Source organism: Homo sapiens, chromosome 9 (assembly GCF_000001405.40).
Source record: "Homo sapiens chromosome 9, GRCh38.p14 Primary Assembly".
NCBI classification, from domain to species: domain Eukaryota; kingdom Metazoa; phylum Chordata; class Mammalia; order Primates; family Hominidae; genus Homo; species Homo sapiens.
In genome coordinates this window covers 34,517,849-34,536,530 of record NC_000009.12, presented here as the reverse complement: position 1 = coordinate 34,536,530, position 18,682 = coordinate 34,517,849, and the positions used below count along the sequence as shown (strand labels likewise).

Sequence of the window (18,682 nt, the reverse complement as noted above, 5' to 3'; positions counted from 1 at the left end):
CAGTATTTAAACATTCCATGTCAGAAACATGTAAGAAATTATTTAAAATAAAAAAACTTCCTCTGACTCTATGTCTTTCTGATCTATTCTCCTTCCTTCTAATTTTCACAGTCAATCAGTCAATTCTCTTGAAAGAATCGTCTATGTTGTATCTACTTTCTTTCTTTTTTTTTTTTTAGACAGAGTCTCACTCTGTCACCCAGGCTGGAGTTCAGTGGCATGATCATGGCTCACTGCAGTCACCAACTCCTAGGCTCAGGCAATCCTCCCTCATCAGCTTTCTGGGTAGCTGGGATTACAGGTGTGCACCACCACGCCTGGCTAATTTTTATATATATATATTTTTTGCAGAGTCAGGTTCTTGCTATGTTACCCAGGCTGGTCTCAAACTCCTGGCCTCAAGTGATCCTCCAACCTCAGCCTTCCAAAGTGCTAGGATTACAGGCATGAGCCACGGCTCCCAGCCTATATCTACCTCTTACTCACTCTGGAAACCACTAAACTCTGGCTTTCACTACATACCCCATTTCCATTTCCTACTGCCCACTGGAACTACTCCTTGTCAGGATAATCAAGAACCTCCTTATTCTTAAGTCCCACGGTCCCTTTTCTACAATAACCTCAACTGTCTTTGAAATTTTGGAGTAGTGACCCCTTCCTTCCTTCTCGAACCTCTGTCCTTTCTTGGCTTCCCTAAAATTATGGTCTCCCCCAGTTTTCCTTCTGCATCTCTGACATATCCTTCCTTATCTACTTTGCAGATTTATCTTTACCCTGCATCCATAAAAGTTAGCATGGTGGACTCCTTTATGTGATGTCTGGAAGGCATCCCCTTCTGGTGGGAACCATTCTTGTGGTTATCATGGAAGCCCTGGCCTTATGACCTCCTCAACAGATTACTGGTGCAGGGAATGGCATCTGTCCAAAGCCGGGCTGATGAGAGCAAGTCATGAGGAATTATGGAACTGAAACTTAGAAGGATAAGCTGGAGCTGGAACTGAAAAAGAGCCAACATCTTCTTGGGTACCTGGGTTGTAAGCTGCAAAGTTTGATAATTGTCAGGAGCTGGGTTTATTATTATGTAGACTAGAGAGGGAGGTTGAAGGATGAAGGAAAAGAGGGAAGGAGGGAGAGATCGAGAGGGAGAGAGAGAAGGACAGACAAAGAGAGAGGGAGAGAGAGGAAGCAAGCAGAAAGGCACGTAGATGAGCAGTAGAGAGTCCTGATGACATTCAGATTGCCAGATCCAGTTGTTCCCAAGTTCCAGCCATATTCTTGCACTAGGACTCTATGAAACAATATAGTTTTCTGAAAATAAATGCCCCCTTTGCCTAAACTAGTTCAAGTTAGGAAATCAGGTATCAGGACCAAAGTATTCTAAATGATAGAACTTAAAGTGAGGAACTAAGTCGAGGTGTGTAGAGGGGCAGTAAGAATCTCCTAATCCCAGCCTGGGAACCCGGAAGTCCTTTTTATGTCATAGCAAAGCAATTAGTTGAACTAGCACCTGTTGTCTCTTATGTCTTAGCTCATATGCTGACTGAAGCTGAAGCACTTGAAAATATGGTAATAGGCCGGGTGCAGTGGCTCACGCCTGTAATCCCAGCACTTTTGGAGGCCAAGACAGGTGGATGACTTGAGGTCAGGAGTTCCAGACCAGCCTGGCCAATATGTTGAAACCCTGCCTCTACTAAAAATTTAAAAATTAGCCTGGCGTGTTGGCGGGCACCTATAATCCCAGCTACTTGGGAGGGCTGAGGCAGAAGAATTGCTTGAACCCGGGAGGCAGAGGTTGCAGCGAGCCGAGATCGCCCCACTGCACTCCAGCTTGGGTGACAAAGTGAGACTGTCTCAAAAACAAAACAAAACAAAACAAAAAACAAAGAGAAAATATGGTGATAAAAAGTCAAGACAACAAAAATGAGTTATTCAAAATGGGTGGTCTGTGCACAGTTAGGGGGCAAGAGAGTAAGCATTTTACTTGGGTAAGGAAATTTGTTTCAGCCTTGACCTCAGATTACTAGGAGTAAGATAATTATGTGCCTTGCTGAATTTCAGGAGCTGGGTTATTTGCTGCTCTCTAATGTTAATACCCTGATTAGGAAACTGTGAGAGCCTAGCAATCATGACTTACACTGGAAGATTCGGCATTGGAAAGCCCTTCTTCTCCCCACCTTGCCAGGCAAATGTGATGGTGCCTCCCATTGTAAAGTGCATTGACTGGAATGGGGCGAAGCAAGGGCATCATTCCAGGGCAGGTGGAAGAAGAAAGGATCCCAGCCCTTCTAGTCCAGCCTACGATTTCCTATGAAGCCACAAGCCATAGTCAGATGGACTGAAAAAGACCCAGACATAGAGCTAAAAAAGAGAAATTGCTCCAAAAGTGTGCTCAGGCCGTGAATCATCTTGGTAAACCTAGAGATTCTAGAAGCATGATTCTGTAAAATTCTGGTATTGATTATGGTAGTAGAAATGTATTCATGGATGTCCTTCACCTTTCATACAGTTTTTTTAATATGGGAAAATTCCCATTTCAAAATCCAGCCTACTCAGTATAGTAAGTCAGAATTGAAATTCACCACATACAATTGTTTACAGGGATGATACTTCACCCACATGAGACTTCCATTTGGAAGTGAGAAAAATGAGTGAGGGAAACACTAAACTTCACCAATATTTCTGGGTCTCCTCTCCTTCTGAGTACCAGAAAGACTGTACTTCTCCTGTCCCTTGATGTCAGGTATGGCTGTGAGGTTTCTTTTGATCAAGGCAATGTGAGCAGAAGCCAGTGTATGCTTCTCCTCACTTTTTTCTCCTGCCACAGCAAACCCTGAAAGCTCATGTCAGGAAGGTCAAGAAGGCAGCATCATCACAAGATGGTGGAGCCTCCAGCAGCCTGGATGCTTGAGTGGCCGCAGTGAGCCAGACTTCTCCACCCCACCTCCCACCCTGCCCCATGCTGGAACTATAGCATGAAGAAGCAATACATTTTTTCTTGTTTTAAGTCAGTAAGATTTGAAGGTTGTTTGTAACTACTGTGTTACCTAGCCAATCCTGATTGATATAGGTAGGAAGCAGGTTAGACACAGAGCTTCGATTTCTGCTGTTGCCGGTAGTAACACAAGTGTCCAGCTTTTGGGGGTGGTAGCGGCAACAGCAGTGGTTTCCCAGTGGTTGCAATATTGAGTTCCTATCACAGAAGGGCCATAGAGCTTGTAAAATTGGCAGTCAAATTGAACTCTTGGTACTTAGTATTCGGAGTGGAAATGGCTGTGGTTTCCCCATCAGGTGTGTGGTATGATTTGGGTGTTGTTCTAGGATCTTAGCCTCAAGTCCATTTCCCCAGCCCTCCTAACAGTTTTGAGCTAAATAATCTTTTCTAACAAATCCTTTTTCTGCTTTATCCAGAATGGATTCTATTATTTGTGAAAAAGAACCCTGACTGATAAAATTACTATACTTAACAATCTCAGATTCCATTGATTATAAGAGGCAAGTTATTTTATAAACGACTATGAAAAAAGAGGGCTGGGTGTAGTGGCTCCTGCCTGTAATAGCAGCACTGTGGAAGCCGAAGCAGGCGGATCAGGAGTTCGAAACCAGCCTCGCCGGCATGGTGAAACCCTGTCTCTACTAAAAAATACAAAAACTAGCCAGGCGTGGTGGTGCACGCCTGTAGTCCCAGCTACTCAGGAGGCTGAGGCAGGAGAATCACTTAAACACAGGAGGCAGAGGTTGTGATGAGCTGAGATTGTGCCACTGCACTCCAGCCTGGGAGACAGAGTGAGACTCTGTCTCAAAAATAAATAAATAAATAAAAGAAAAAAGGAAGATGGCCGAATAGGAACAGCTCCAGTCTACAGCTCCCAGTGTGAGCGATGCAGAAGACGCATGATCTCTGCATTTCCAACTAAGGTACTGGGTTCCTCTCACTGGGGATTTTCGGACAGTGGGTGCAGGACAGTGGGTGCAGCGCACCGAGCGTGAGCCAAAGCAGGGCAAGGCATCGTCTCACCCGGGAAGTGCAAGGGGTCAGGGAATTCCCTTTCCTAGCCAAGGGAAGAGGGGACAAACGGCACCTGGAAAATCGGGTCACTCCCACCCTAATACTGCGCTTTTCAGACGGTCTTAGCAAACGGCACACCAGGAGATTATATCCCGTGCCTGGCTCAGAGGGTCCTATGCCCACAGAGCCTCACTCATTGCTAGCACAGCAGTCTGAGATCAAACTGCAATGCAGCAGCCAGGCTGGGGGAGGGGCGCCCGCCATTGCTGAGGCTTGAGTAGGTAAACAAAGCTTCCAGGAAGGGAAGCTTGAACTGGGTGGAGCCCACCGCAGCTCAAGGAGGCCTGCCTGCCTCTGTAGACTCCACCTCTGGGGGCAGGGCATAGCCGAACAAAAGGCAGCAGAAACCTCTGCAGACTTAAATGTCCCTGTCTGACAGCTTTGAAGAGAGTAGTGGTTCTCCCAGCACAGAGCTTGAGATCTGAGAACAGATAGACTGCCTCCTCAAGTGGGTCCCTGACCCCCAAGTAGCCTAACTGGGAGGCACCCATCAGTAGGGGCAGACTGACACCTCATACGGCCGGGTACCCCTCTGAGACGAAACTTCCAGAGGAACGATCAGGCAGCAACACTTGCTGTTCACCAATAATCGCTGTTCAGCAATATTCGCTGTTCTGCAGCCTCCGCTGCTGATACCCAGGCAAACAGGGTCTGGAGTGGACCTCCAGCAAACTCCAACAGACATGCAGCTGAGGGTCCTGACTGTTAGAAGGAAAACTAACAAACAGAAAGGGCATCCACATCAAAACCCCATCTGTATGTCACCATCATCAAAGACCAAAGGTAGATAAAACCACAAAGATGGGGAAAAAACAGAGCAGAAAAACTGAAAATTCTAAAAATGAGAGCACCTCTCCTCCTCCAAAGGAATGCAGCTCCTCACCAACAATGGAACAAAGCTGGATGGAAAATGACTTTGATGAGTTGAGAGAAGAAGGCTACAGACGATCAAACTTCTCCGAGCTAAAGGAGGAAGTTCGAACCCAACACAAAGAAGTTAAAAACCTTGAAAAAAGATTAGACGAATGGCTAACTAGAATAACCAATGCAGAGAAGTCCTTAAAGGACCTGATGGAGCTGAAAATCATGGCACAAGAACTACATGGCAAATGCACAAGCTTCATTAGCCGATTTGATCAACTGGAAGAAAGGGTATCAGTGATGGAAGATCAAATGAATGAAATGAAGCGAGAAGAGAAGTTTAGGGAAAAAAGAATAAAAAGAAATGAACAAAGCCTCCAAGAAATATAGGACTATGTGAAAAGACCAAATTTACGTCTGATTGGTGTACATGAACGTGACGGGGAGAATGGAACCAAGTTGGAAAACACTCTGCAGGATATTATCCAGGAGAACTTCCCCAATCTAGTAAGGCAAACCAACATTCAAATTCAGGAAATACAGAGAACGCCACAAAGATACTCCTCGAGAAGAGCAACTCCAAGACACATAATTGTCAGATTCACCAAAGTTGAAATGAAGGAAAAAATGTTAAGGGCAGCCAGAGAGAAAGGTCGGGTTACCCACAAAGGGAAGCCCATCAGACTAACAGCGGATCTCTCGGCAGAAACTCTACAAGCCAGAAGAGAGTGGGGGCCAATATTCAACATTCTTAAAGAAAAGAATTTTCAACCCAGAATTTCATATCCAGCCAAACTAAGCTTCATAAGTGAAGGAGAAATAAAATACTTTACAGACAAGCAAATGCTGAGAGATTTTGTCACCACCAGGCCTGCCCTACAAGAGCTTCTAAAGGAAGCACTAAACATGGAAAGGAACAACCGGTACCAGCCACTGTAAAAACATGCCAAATTGTAAAGACCATCAATGCTAGGAAGAAACTGCATCAACTAACAAGCAAAATAACCAGCTAACATCATAATGACAGGATCAAATTCACACATAACAATATTAACCTTAAATGTAAATGGGCTAAATGCTCCAATTAAAAGACACAGACTGGCAAATTGCATAAAGAGTCAAGACCCATCAATGTGCTGTATTCAGGAAACCCATCTCATGTGCAGAGACACAAATAGGCTCAAAATAAAGGGATGGAGGAAGATCTACCAAGCAAATGGAAAATAAAAAAAGGCAGGGGTTACAATCCTAGTCTCTGATAAAACAGACTTTAAACCAACAAAGATGAAAAGAGACAAGGCCATTACATAATGGTAAAGGGATCAATTCAACAAGAAGAGCTAACTATCTTAAATATATATGCACCCAATACAGGAGCACCCAGATTCATAAAGCAAGTCCTTAGAGACTACAAAGAGACTTAGACTCCCCCACACAATAATAATGGGAGACTTTAACACCCCACTGTCAACATCAGACAGATCAACGAGACAGAAAGTTAACAAGGATATCCAGGGATTGAACTCAGCTCTGCACCAACCGGACCTAATAGACATCTACAGAACTCTCCACCCCAAATCAACAGAGTATACATTCTTCTCAGCACCACATTGCACTTACTCCAAAATTGATCACATAGTTGGAAGTAAAGCACTCCTCAGCAAATGTAAAAGAACAGAAATTATAACAAACTGTCTCTCAGACCACGGTGCAGTCAAACTAGAACTCAGGATTAAGAAACTCACTCAAAACCACTCAACTACATGGAAACTGAACAACCTGCTCCTGAATGACTACTGGGTACATAATGAAATGAAGGCAGAAATAAAGATGTTTTTTGAAATCAATGAGAACAAAGACCCAACATACCAGAATCTCTGGGACACATTTAAAGCAATGTGTAGAGGGAAATTTATAGCACTAAATGCCCACAAGAGAAAGCAGGAAAGATCTAAAATTGACACCTTAACATCACAATTAAAAGAACTAGAGAAGCAAGAGCAAACACGTTCAAAAGCTAGCAGAAGGCAAGAAATAACTAAGATCAGAGCAGAACTGAAGGAGATAGAGACACAAAAAGCCCTTCAAAAAATCAATGAATCCAGGAGCTGGTTTTTTGAAAAGATCAACAAAATTGATAGACCGCTAGCAAGACTAATAAAGAAGAAAAAAGAGAAGAATCAAATAGACACAATAAAAAATGATAAAGGGGATATCACCACCGATCCCACAGAAATACAAACTACCATCAGAGAATACTATAAACACACCTACGCAAATAAACTAGAAAATCTAGAAGAAATGGATAAATTTCTGGACACATACACTCTCCCAAGACTAAACCAGGAAGAAGTTGAATCTCTGAATAGACCAATAACAGGCTCTGAAATTGAGGCAATAATTAATAGCTTACCAACCAAAAAAAGTCCAGGACCAGACAGATTCACAGCCAAATTCTACCAGAGGTACAAGGAGGAGCTGGTACTATTCGTTCTGAAACCATTCCAATCAATAGAAAAAGAGGGAATCCTTCCTAACTCATTTTATGAGGCCAGCATCATCCTGATACCAAAGCCTGGCAGAGACACAACAAAAAAAGATAATTTTAGACCAATATCCTTGATGAACATCGATGCAAAAATCCTCAATAAAATACTGGCAAACCAAATCCAGCAGCACATCAAAAAGCTTATCCACCATGATCAAGTGGGCTTCATCTCTGGGATGCAAGGCTGGTTCAACATACGCAAATCAATAAATGTAATCCAGCATATAAACAGAACCAATGACAAAAACCACATGATTATCTCAACAGATGCAGAAAAGGCCTTTGACAAAATTCAACAGCCCTTCATGCTAAAAACTCTCAATAAATTTGGTACTGATGGGACGTATCTCAAAATAATAAGAGCTATCTATGACAAACCCACAGCCAATATCATACTGAATGGGCAAAAACTGGAAGCATTCCCTTTGAAAACTGGCACAAGACAGGGATGCCCTCTCTCACCACTCCTATTCCACATAGTGTTGGAAGTTCTGGCCAGGGCAATCAGGCAGGAGAAAGAAATAAACAGTATTCAATTAGGAAAAGGGGAAGTCCAATTGTCCCTGTTTGCAGATGACATGATTGTATATCTAGAAAACCCCATCGTCTCAGCCCAAAATCTCCTTAAGCTGATAAGCAACTTCAGCAAAGTCTCAGGATACAAAATCAATGTGCAAAAATCACAAGCATTCTTATACACCAATAACAGACAGGCAGAGAGCCAAATCATGAGTGAACTCCCATTCACAATATCTTCAAAGAGAATAAAATACCTAGGAATCCAACTTACAAGGGATGTGAAGGACCTCTTCAAGGAGAACTACAAACCACTGCTCAACGAAATAAAAGAGGATACAAACAAATGGAAGAACATTCCATGCTCATGGATAGGAAGAATCAATATTGTGAAAATGGCCATACTGCCCAAGGTAATTTATAGATTCAATGCCATCCCCATCAAGCTACCAATGACTTTCTTCACAGAATTGGAAAAAACTACTTTAAAGTTCATATGGAACCAAAAAGAGCCCGCATTGCCAAGTCAATCCTAAGCCAAAAGAACAAAGCTGGAGGCATCACGCTACCTGACTTCAAACTATACTACAAGGCTACAGTAACCAAAACAGCATGGTACTGGTACCAAAACAGAGATATAGACCAATGGAACAGAACAGAGCCCTCAGAAATAATACCATACATCTACAACTATCTGATCTTTGACAAACCTGACAAAAACAAGAAATGGGGAAAGGATTCCCTATTTAACCAATGGTGCTAGGAAAACTGGCTAGCCATATGTAGAAAGCTGAAACTGGATCCCTTCCTTACACCTTATACAAAAATTAATTCAAGATGGATTAAAGACTTAAATGTTAGACCTAAAACCATAAAAACCCTAGAAGAAAACCTAGGCAATACCATTCAGGACATAGGCATGGGTAAGGACTTCATGTCTAAAACACCAAAAGCAATGGCCACAAAAGCCAAAATTGACAAATGGGATCTAACTAAACTAAAGAGCTTCTGCACAGCAAAAGAAACTAACATCAGAGTGAACAGGCAACCTATAGAATGGGATAAAATTTTTGCAATCTACTCCTCTGACAAAGGGCTAATATCCAGAATCAACAAAGAACTCAAACAAATTTACAAGAAAAAACCCCCTCAACAAGTGGGTGAAGGATATGAACAGACACTTCTCAAAAGAAGACATTTATGCAGCCAACAGACACATGAGAAAATGCTCATCATCACTGGCCATCAGAGAAATGCAAATCAAAACCACAATGAGATACCATCTCACACCAGTTAGAATGGCGATCATTAAAAAGTCAGGAAACAACAGGTGCTGGAGAGGATGTGGAGAAATAGGAACACTTTTACACTGTTGGTGGGACTGGAAACTGGTTCAACCATTGTGGAAGACAGTGTGGTGATTCCTCAGGGATCTAGAACTAGAAATACCATTTGACCCAGCCATCCCATTACTGGGTATATACCCAAAGGATTATAAATCATGCTGCTATAAAGACACATGCACACGTATGTTTATTGTGGCACTATTCACAATAGCAAAGACCTGGAACCAACCCAAATGTCCAACAATGATAGACTGGATTAAGCAAATGTGGCACATATACACCATGGAATACTATGCAGCCATAAAAAATGATGAGTTCATGTCCTTTGTAGGGACATGGATGAAGCTGGAAACCATCATTCTCAGCAAACTATCGCAAGAACAAAAAACCAAAGACCACATGTTCTCACTCATAGGTGGGAACTGAACAATGAGAACACTTGGACACAGGAAGGGGAACATCACACACCGGGGCCTGTTGTGGGGTGGGGGGAGGGGGGAGGGATAGCATTAGGAGACATACCTAATGTAAATGACAAGTTAATGGGTGCAGCACACCAACATGGCACATGTATACATGTGTAACAAACCTGCACATTGTGCACATGTACCCTAAAACTTAAAGTATAATAATAAAAAAAAGAAAAAAGAAAAAAAAATAAGAGGTGAAAAAATGATTACATGCTATTAATTGTAAGACACATTCTGATTACATATTTGTTTAAACTGGGGGAAAAAAGTACACCTTAGAACCAATCAAACATGTTATTAGCAGATGGAATTTCTCCAAATGAAATTGATAGGCAGCTGATTATGGTTTTAAAATAATTGCATAATCTATTGAGGGAAAAGCCCTTATCCAATCCTCCTAAGTGTAGAGCTCTGTGGTTGTTCAATCCCAGGATAATCTGTAAAACACCACCAGAAGGTGTAGTGCTAATCAGTACAGTGCCGCACAGAGAAATCCTCCATAATGACCCTCTCAAAACACTGGATAAGGGATCTCTACCTTGTGGGCAAAAATTAAGGCAGCCAGATTGGCCGACCAAGGAACTCCACAGCCAAAGGAGCAAGTCAACAAACAGATGCCATGAGATTTGCTAGTCCTATCATTTCATTATTACTCATGGCCAAAAACATCTACAGTAGATGATGTTCTGGATTAGTGACCAATGCACAGTGCTTCCTTTTCACCCCATTTTATTCTCTATTTCTTGTATCTCTACATATCAGGACTTTTTCATAGGGGGAGTAGTTTAAAGATAGTTCAAAGGCAGTTAAAAGGTAGTGGGATTATTAGAAGCCACATTTCATACCTCATGGAGACCTCACTAGAGCATGAAGGGACATTACCTGGAGAACCTATATCTGAAGAACAGTGGTCCTGATCTGTGCTATGATCTCCAGAAGCAGCAGCTGGATGTGTCACTGAATTGTTCTTCACTGGAAAGGAGGCAAATTTATTGGCATTTGTATCGTGGGATGATTGGATTATGTAGATGAGGGCCTTTTTGGAATCATATAATAGGAAATGATGTATATGTGTTGGGCAAACAAAGGGTGGACTGTATGGACACCTGCCATTTTGCTTCTTTATGATGCTGCTTCCCCTGGAAACCACCACCTCCACCTCCCCACTGCCCATAGCGTTATCATGTTAATCAATTTGATCTTCATCCCTTGACCACCATTGATTAGTCCAAAGGTAAGCATCTAAGTTGAATCAAAATATTTCCTGAAAATTTTGCAAACCAAAAAAAAAAAAAAAAAAGAAAGGAGGAGGATGAGGAGGATGAGGAGGAGCTGGCAGCAGCCAGTCTCTTTGGATGCCTACACAACAAGCTTTAAAACTTTAGAATTGTCTGAAGTCCCGTTTTTTACCATGTGGTCTAGAAGCATATTGGAAGTCAGTCTGGGGATGGGGAGGACAGGGACTTGGGACAGGGGAGGGAAATGGAGGCAGGCAGAAAGTAACAGAGTTGAGAGGTAGAGAGAGAACTCTTCTGGGTGGCTTTTGATCTCTTAGTTTCAGTTGTTCCTGAGTCATCCTTGCCCTTAGGTTTCCGTATCTGATTATAAATTTATCTTTTTGCTTAAACTAGTTATCTCTCTCCCTGGGTGAGCTCATCTATTTTTCTCATTTAACTACCATTCTTTTGCTGACAACTCACAAAATATTATCTTTAGCCTGGACCTCTCTCCTGAACCTGTGTATTCAGTAAATGGCATCACAGCATCCCTCGTCACTAACCCGGGAGTCATCCCAGACTTTTCCTTCCTGCTTACCTCCCCTATCCTCTAGTTCTCTAAGTCCCACCAGCAGCAGCTCCCAAATATCCTCAATGCTCTCCTTTTCTCTCTACAACTTTTTCCTTCCATCATTTCAGTCCCTTATTATTAATCCTTGCCTTCACTCTCAAATGCTTTCAAGCCCCCATTCCACACCATAGCCCAAATCATCCTACTAATTTCTGGATATGATCGCATTACTCTTCTGCTCAAAAATTCTTCAGTGGCTCCCCACTGTTTTCAGGATAAAATCTGAACTCCTGCAGCTGGGTCACAAAATTCGCTCACATTACACTCAGATGTGCGATGATTTAAGTCTCCTCTGTTTCCTATAACTAGGCTGATCTTTCTCACAATGCCCTCACCCTGCTGGGTAATGGGCAGTGGGGGGGAGCTAAAAGTAATCCACTCTGGTAAACTCTATAGGATCCAATAATTTATTTTAGACAGTCTCTAAGTACTTTGGTAGCTTTGGATGACTCAGTCTTCCCTTTCTTCTTTCAAGATAGCATCTGGATTTACAGGGGTCTTATGTGAATTTCATGGCATTGGATTGGGGGAAGGGGCCTCTTAGTCACATGGTCCTGGGGGTTGTGTCAGCTGGCATTTGCTGAGATGTGATCGATCTGCTATAAATTAGTGAATAACAACCCTGAGAGGTAGCATTACAACCATTTTACAGATGAGGAAGCTGAGGCTAAGAGAGATTTAGTAACTTGCTCAAGATCACAAAGTTAGTAAGTGAACCAGGAATCAATACTGCCCCGATTACAGTAGGCACTTAGTTATATGAGTCTAGGATTCCAGAGAGAAGTTAAGGCTAGACTTGGGAGCACTGGGAGTCTTCATGATATAGCTTCAGGGATGTGATCCTCCAAGGAGAGCATGTAGAGCGGGATGAGAAGACGGCCGGATCAGAATAGGTGACAATCACTGGCCTGTGAAGGTCGGGGAGGACAAGGTCTACCTCACTGCTCCTGTCCAAGCTATCTTCTTCTTAGGGGAGCTTTTAGGATGGCAAGGCAGGATTTCCACCACGCCTGCACCTATTCCAGCCAGGGCAGAACCATCGCTCAGGACACTCCATTTCTGTCCCAGACTCCCCAACAGCCTGGCAGCAAGCCTGCGACCAACACTGGGTAGGAACTCAGTAAATGTGTCCAAAGAACCTGTGTTGCCAGAGATTTTCACACCTCTTAGGGCCAGGGAACCTGGGGCCCTCTAAAGTGGGAATGCAGAGTCCACACCCAGGTGGCAGAGGGAAGTGCGGGACTGCACTATAGGCGGTTCCCTAGGTGAGGAGATTCAGTCTCCTGCCAGGTGTGGGGACGCGGGGCCTTCCTCCGGATGACTTACTTAAGAGACCTCTCCCAGATACAGAGGGGTGGTTTCCTCACATGTGGAAATGCAGAGGCCTTGGCCTTTCTCGGATGTGGGGTGTACAACCCTTCCAGGTGTAGAAGGTGCAAGAAATCCCTACCAGAGGTTAGGCCTTGCCCCCACCCCATCCCCTCTCCCGGGAAGGATCCAGGGCCAGCTACTCCTTCGGCCCTCCTCCCGCCCCGCGCCGGCACGAGAGGCGGGCTGGTCCCCACCTCAGCGCACCACCAATGGTGCGGGAACCGGGGTTCGGCCAGCCAATTGAGTGGCGGCAGCGGCGCTGGGATGGCTCCGCCCCCGGGCCGCAGGCCGCCGGCCTCCCAGGAGGCGAGGCTCTTCGCTGTTTTTGCTGGCCGCCGAGCCCGGCCGAGCCCAGCCGAACGTAGCCGAGCCCAGCCGAGCCCAACCGAACGCAGCCGAGCCCAGCCGAACACCGCGCAGCTCCCGCCGCCGCCGCCCGAGCGCTGCCGAGCGAGCGAGCGCCGCGGCCGCGGAGGAGGTGCGGCCCCAAGGGGAGGAGGTGCCCGCTCACCGCAGACCGCCCGCGGCAGAGGCCGCCCCGGTCGCGCCGCGGCGGGAGCGGCCGGTGGAGGCTGCGCGGCCGAGGGGGAGGGCCGGGGGAGCGGACGTCGCCTCTGCTGGTCTCCCACCTCCCGCCGCCCCCCGCCCGCAGGCTCCCAAGCCTTAGTCGGCGCCGAGCATCCCGCTGCCCCGGACCCTCCCGCGGGCGCGCACCAGGCTCAACTCAGGTAAGAAGGGCCTCCCGCCACGGGCACGGGGGCCAAGAACACGCGACCCGAAGATGGAGATAAAGAGACAGAGACACACTGCCGCGGAGAGAGACGAACACAAAGACAGAGACACAGGAACCACCGAAAAGACCCCACGGAGAAGGGGATAGGGACACGTCCATGGGAACAGAGGGGGATACAGCCTGGAAGAGAGAGAGAGACACAGAGACTGATGCAGAGATACACAGAGACACACTGGTAGAGAAATGAGACATAGAGGAGACATACTCAGAGATGGGGACACACGGAGAGGCAGCCACACACACAGAGGTGGGTGTGCAGAGGCACAGGCACACATCCAACGGAGGGACAGTGAGACACCAGACACACACACACACCTGACCCAGAGAGGCAGCCCCACATAGAGGCACACAGCCCTGGACGCACAGAGCCTGCACATGCCTGCCAGGGCCTCCACAAAGTTCCCTCTGTGCAAGCTGGCGCCTCTGGAGGTCTCCTGGTCGGGCTGGCTGGAGTCCTGGGAGAGAGGAGGCGCCCAGGCCACACCAGAGCTGCTTACAACCCCCATCCTTTTGGGCTGGGGGCTTCCTGGATCCCACCCACCAACAGAGGGCTTTTGAGGGCTGCAAGCTTGGTGGGCAGGACCAGGGCATGCCCACCAGGTCTAAGGAGAATGAGATGACGGCTGCCTACTGCAGCTTCCCCACGGTGGCTACACACTCATTCAGGTGGCCAGAACCAAGCCTGTGGATGGGGGTGATGGCTCTGTGGGGTATTCGAGCCTGTTGGGACCCAAGGTCTTTCACCAGGGAGGCCAGAAATGTGGGAGGGAGGCTCTCTTCCCTACCTCTCTCCTCCTAGGCCTCACCCCACCCTTCCTCCTCACCACCCTCTCCTTTACTGTATACCCCCAACAGGCTCAGGACTGCAGGTAGACATCTCCACTGCCCAGGAATCACTGAGCGTGCAGACAGCACAGCCTCCTCTGAAGGCCGGCCATACCAGAGTCCTGCCTCGGCATGGGCCTCACCATTGAGGCAGCTCCACTGTCTGTGCTGGTCTGAGGGTGCTGCCTGTCATGGGGGCAGCCATCTCCCAGGGGGCCCTCATCGCCATCGTCTGCAACGGTCTCGTGGGCTTCTTGCTGCTGCTGCTCTGGGTCATCCTCTGCTGGGCCTGCCATTCTCGCTCTGCCGACGTTGACTCTCTCTCTGAATCCAGTCCCAACTCCAGCCCTGGCCCCTGTCCTGAGAAGGCCCCACCACCCCAGAAGCCCAGCCATGAAGGCAGCTACCTGCTGCAGCCCTGAAGGCCCCTGGCCTAGCCTGGAGCCCAGGACCTAAGTCCACCTCACCTAGAGCCTGGAATTAGGATCCCAGAGTTCAGCCAGCCTGGGGTCCAGAACTCAAGAGTCCGCCTGCTTGGAGCTGGACCCAGCGGCCCAGAGTCTAGCCAGCTTGGCTCCAATAGGAGCTCAGTGGCCCTAAGGAGATGGGCCTGGGGTGGGGGCTTATGAGTTGGTGCTAGAGCCAGGGCCATCTGGACTATGCTCCATCCCAAGGGCCAAGGGTCAGGGGCCGGGTCCACTCTTTCCCTAGGCTGAGCACCTCTAGGCCCTCTAGGCTGGGGAAGCAAACTGGAACCCATGGCAATAATAGGAGGGTGTCCAGGCTGGGCCCCTCCCCTGGTCCTCCCAGTGTTTGCTGGATAATAAATGGAACTATGGCTCTACCCTGAGGTTTTCTTCTCTTCCTGAGGGCCCTGTGGTAGCACAATTAAAGGTGTGGGGTGGGTTTCTACACAGGTTTATTTGTGCAAAGTTAGAGGGGTAATGGTGGTTGAAGACCAAGTCCTGGGGTAAGGTGCTGGGACCTTAAGGAACAGAACAAGAAGGGAAGATGCTGGGACCTGATCAGGAGTGGGGTCACATGCTGGGTGCTAAGGCTGGGCTGGGTACCAGGGTCAAGCCCTAGGAGTACTGTATTCAAGCGATGGGACAGAGACTGAGGCCAGCCCCTCAGGTCTTGATTTTCACTTCCCTCACCAGGTTCAGCAGTTTGTCCAGTTTCGCAATCTCCACAGCTGGACCCTTCTGCACCTCCTGCCCCTTCTTTTCCTGGGGAGAGGGAAAGTATACATGAGGGAGGAATGGTGGGCCCCCCCTCTCTGGGTCCCAGCACCACCTCCTCTGCCCAGCCTGTCCAGCTGTGCCCTACCCCTCCCCTGCCCAGTAAATTCTGGATCCCTGCCTCCCCTCTCCCTGACACGATCATTCCCCAACTCGGGTTAGGTGACACAGGGGCTCAGCTGACAGCTTGCAAAAAGGAGTCCAGCTCTGGCTTGAACCTCAGATGGACATGGGGTCTTGATGCTTGTGGGAGTGGGAAAAGGCATCCATTCCCTGACCCTCAGGGGAACAACCTTCCAGGCCAGGGAAATCCAGCTCTGCGAAGGCGGGGGGCTGACTGCTGGCACCATCCTTACCATGGGAAGGTCCCTGGCCGAGACCTATCAAGGAGCTAATGGGTATGTGTTTGGGGAGGGAGGGGCTGTGGACAGAGCCTCAGGGGCCCGGACCTCACCTAGTCCTCTCACCTGATGCCTTCAGGTCAGGTTGGCAGTGGGTGCTATTTGGGGCGAGACCTGCTGTGTCAGACATACCCAGGGTTGGGAAGAGTGTCAAGAGACCCATAAGGGCAGAGGGAATAGTCCATGTGACTCCAGGTGTCGTTGGCTGAGGTTGTCCTTTAGAAGACCAGATCCTGAGTTTATGACCCAACACCCTACCTGCAAAGCACTCCAATCCTTCCATTATAAGTTGGACACTGGAGTGTGTGTCACCCACAGGTCCTGAGAACTCCTTGGCAGACCAGCACCAGTCCCACCCTCCCTGCTGTCCAGGCAGGGGGGTGAGGGCTGTGCTGGGGCAGGCTGGGCAGTTGCCATTTCCCCATTTCCTGCCTTCGCTGTGCTCCTGGGCCCCCATCCTCTCAGCCACCTGTGCCCACTGCTCACTGACACCTACCCCAGCCTTACCTTGGTCTGGCCAGGGCTGTAAAGGGGATGGGGAGGGGTGAGTGCAGGGCCAGTAGGCCCTTCCCTGGCTCCTTTTTGGCTGCTGTCACCATGTGGAGCTCAGATTTCCCCCTGCTGTGACCCCATACCTGCTCCCAAATTTTCTCCCCTATCCGCTTGCAGCCCAGTGCCTTTTTGCCACTACCTAGCTCACCTCTACCCTCTGCAGGCAGAGCACAAAAAAGCTCTTTTTCTCTCTCTTCCCTCTCTCCTTCCTAAATTAAGCTTGGGTTCTCTTCTTGGCTTCACCCCATCCCCTGGGAGTTAGGGGACCTGGTTTTAGTTCCAGCTCTGTCATTAACTCCCTATATGACTTTGGGCAAGGCCTTTGCCTTTCTGAGCTTCAGTTTCCCATCTATCCTGTAGTTAGGGAAAGACAGTCTTTGGCCTTGGACTCTTTGGGCTCTTGACACCCATCATGGGAGCTCCCTGGGCAGGGAGGTCCAGACCTCTGTGGGGAAGCCATTTGGAAAGGGCAGGGAGTCTGCAGCTCACAGAGGAAGGGCAGTAGGGATGCCCAGAGGATTTTGTTTTGCATGAATCACTTGGCTGATAGGGTCAGATGGCAATTTCACGGGAACCTCTAATCCACTCAAGTACCCACCAGCCCCCACCTGTCCCTTCTCAGGTCCTCAGAGACGTAGGTCCCCAGATACACACAGCCCAGCTCTCCCAGCCATGACTGACCCTTCTCTGAGGGGAACTGAAACTATGGGAGATGCTTACCTCCCTGGATCAGAGTGGGCAGGGCAGGCTCCCACCCATGTCTGACCCTTCTCTGAGGGGAACTGAAACTATGGGAGATGCTTACCTCCCTGGATCAGAGTGGGCAGGGCAGGCTCCCACCCATGTCTGACCCTTCTCTGAGGGGAACTGAAACTATGGGAGATGCTTACCTCCCTGGATCAGAGTGGGCAGGGCAGGCTCCCACCCATGTCTACCACCCTCATGGTGTCATGGCTGTACTCCTCCCCCAAAGAATGACCATCATCCCTCCTGGAGGGTTGTCCAACTCTGCCAGCTTCAACCTGGGTCTCTCTCCTCAGAAAATTAAGAACACATTTTATCTATTCCACAAATTATGCTTCCTCCTTCCTCCTCCTTGAGGCCAACTAGCTGGGCTCAGCAAAGAGATTCAGACCACGCCCGACTCCCTCCCTCCCCTCAAGCCCACCACAGCCTCTGGGCCACAGCTGCAGGCGCTTAGCAGCCTTTTGAGTATTTATAGCCAAGTCCACCCTCTCCCCCAGCTGGCTACAATTACAGGGCCAGCCACACTCCCAGCCCTTGCCTCCCTGGCCATGGTGGGGAACAGGCCAAGCCAGCACCAGAGGGATGGTGCCGCAGTCCCTTCCTTGGTAGGAGCACAGTGCAGGGAAGACAGTAGTCGAAAGACACAGGCCCCTGCCACTGCCTCAAACTGCAGTAAATGCCTCAAATTGCCAGGAGGGATGGTCATTAGGGCAAGCTGGCCCAGTCCTGATCCTGGCCCAGAACCTGGCAGAAAGCAAAGAGCCATCTCTACTCTTAGCACACAAATGGGCAGGACTGGGCTCTGGGTTCTTGGGCTCAGGATTCCAAGGCCCGGGCTGCAAAGCCTGGGTTCATAAGTCTGGATCTGGACTCAGATCTAGACTTTAAGGTCATCGCTCTGGGCTCCAGACCTGTATTTGGGGCCCTTGGCCTCTGGGCAGGGTCTCCTGATCATTGGAGACCCTAGAAACAGGAACCAGAGCTCAGAAGGAGGGCTGCATAGCTGCTGACCTAGTTACTCTCCTTGCGGCTCATTTCCTTCCTCTCTGTGTAGACCCACAGCTCCCAGCTCAGGGACCACTGGGGCTGAAGCCCTG

At 48.1% G+C, this 18,682-nt stretch overlaps 2 protein-coding genes across 3 annotated transcripts in view, besides 3 other annotated features; one reads left to right on the top strand and one right to left on the bottom strand.

The window, feature by feature from the left end:
* Positions 13,116 to 13,485: a silencer, noted in NCBI's record as "silent region_19848". NCBI's record gives its function as "represses an Ori minimal core promoter by ATAC-STARR-seq in GM12878 lymphoblastoid cells {active_cell/tissue: GM12878}" and the evidence as "EXISTENCE:reporter gene assay evidence [ECO:0000049][PMID:35858748]".
* Positions 13,506 to 13,615: a silencer, noted in NCBI's record as "silent region_19847". NCBI's record gives its function as "represses an Ori minimal core promoter by ATAC-STARR-seq in GM12878 lymphoblastoid cells {active_cell/tissue: GM12878}" and the evidence as "EXISTENCE:reporter gene assay evidence [ECO:0000049][PMID:35858748]".
* Positions 13,541 to 15,488, top strand: ENHO (energy homeostasis associated). The gene is made up of 2 exons (NM_198573.3): positions 13,541 to 13,754; positions 14,675 to 15,488. The coding sequence occupies exon 2, from the start codon at positions 14,836 to 14,838 to the stop codon at positions 15,064 to 15,066; it is 231 nt and encodes a 76-aa protein (NP_940975.2). The 5' UTR covers positions 13,541 to 13,754; positions 14,675 to 14,835; the 3' UTR covers positions 15,067 to 15,488.
* Positions 14,245 to 14,797: an enhancer, noted in NCBI's record as "H3K4me1 hESC enhancer chr9:34521732-34522284 (GRCh37/hg19 assembly coordinates)". NCBI's record gives its function as "activates a minimal SCP1, AML or CMV promoter by ChIP-STARR-seq in naive H9 embryonic stem cells {active_cell/tissue: H9 hESC(naive)}" and the evidence as "EXISTENCE:reporter gene assay evidence [ECO:0000049][PMID:30033119]".
* Positions 15,547 to 18,682, bottom strand: part of DNAI1 (dynein axonemal intermediate chain 1) — a 62,180-nt gene continuing 59,044 nt past the window's right edge. For both annotated transcript variants that reach the window (NM_001281428.2, NM_012144.4), the window contains exon 20: positions 15,547 to 15,873. In NM_001281428.2, the coding sequence (NP_001268357.1) occupies positions 15,775 to 15,873 (99 nt within the window). In that variant the 3' untranslated portion in view covers positions 15,547 to 15,774. The remainder of the gene's footprint in view (positions 15,874 to 18,682) is intronic.

Coding starts and splice junctions, on each gene's coding strand:
- ENHO (NM_198573.3), top strand. CDS start 14,836: ATGGGGGCAGCCATCTCCCAGGGGGCCCTCATCGCCATCGTCTGCAAC.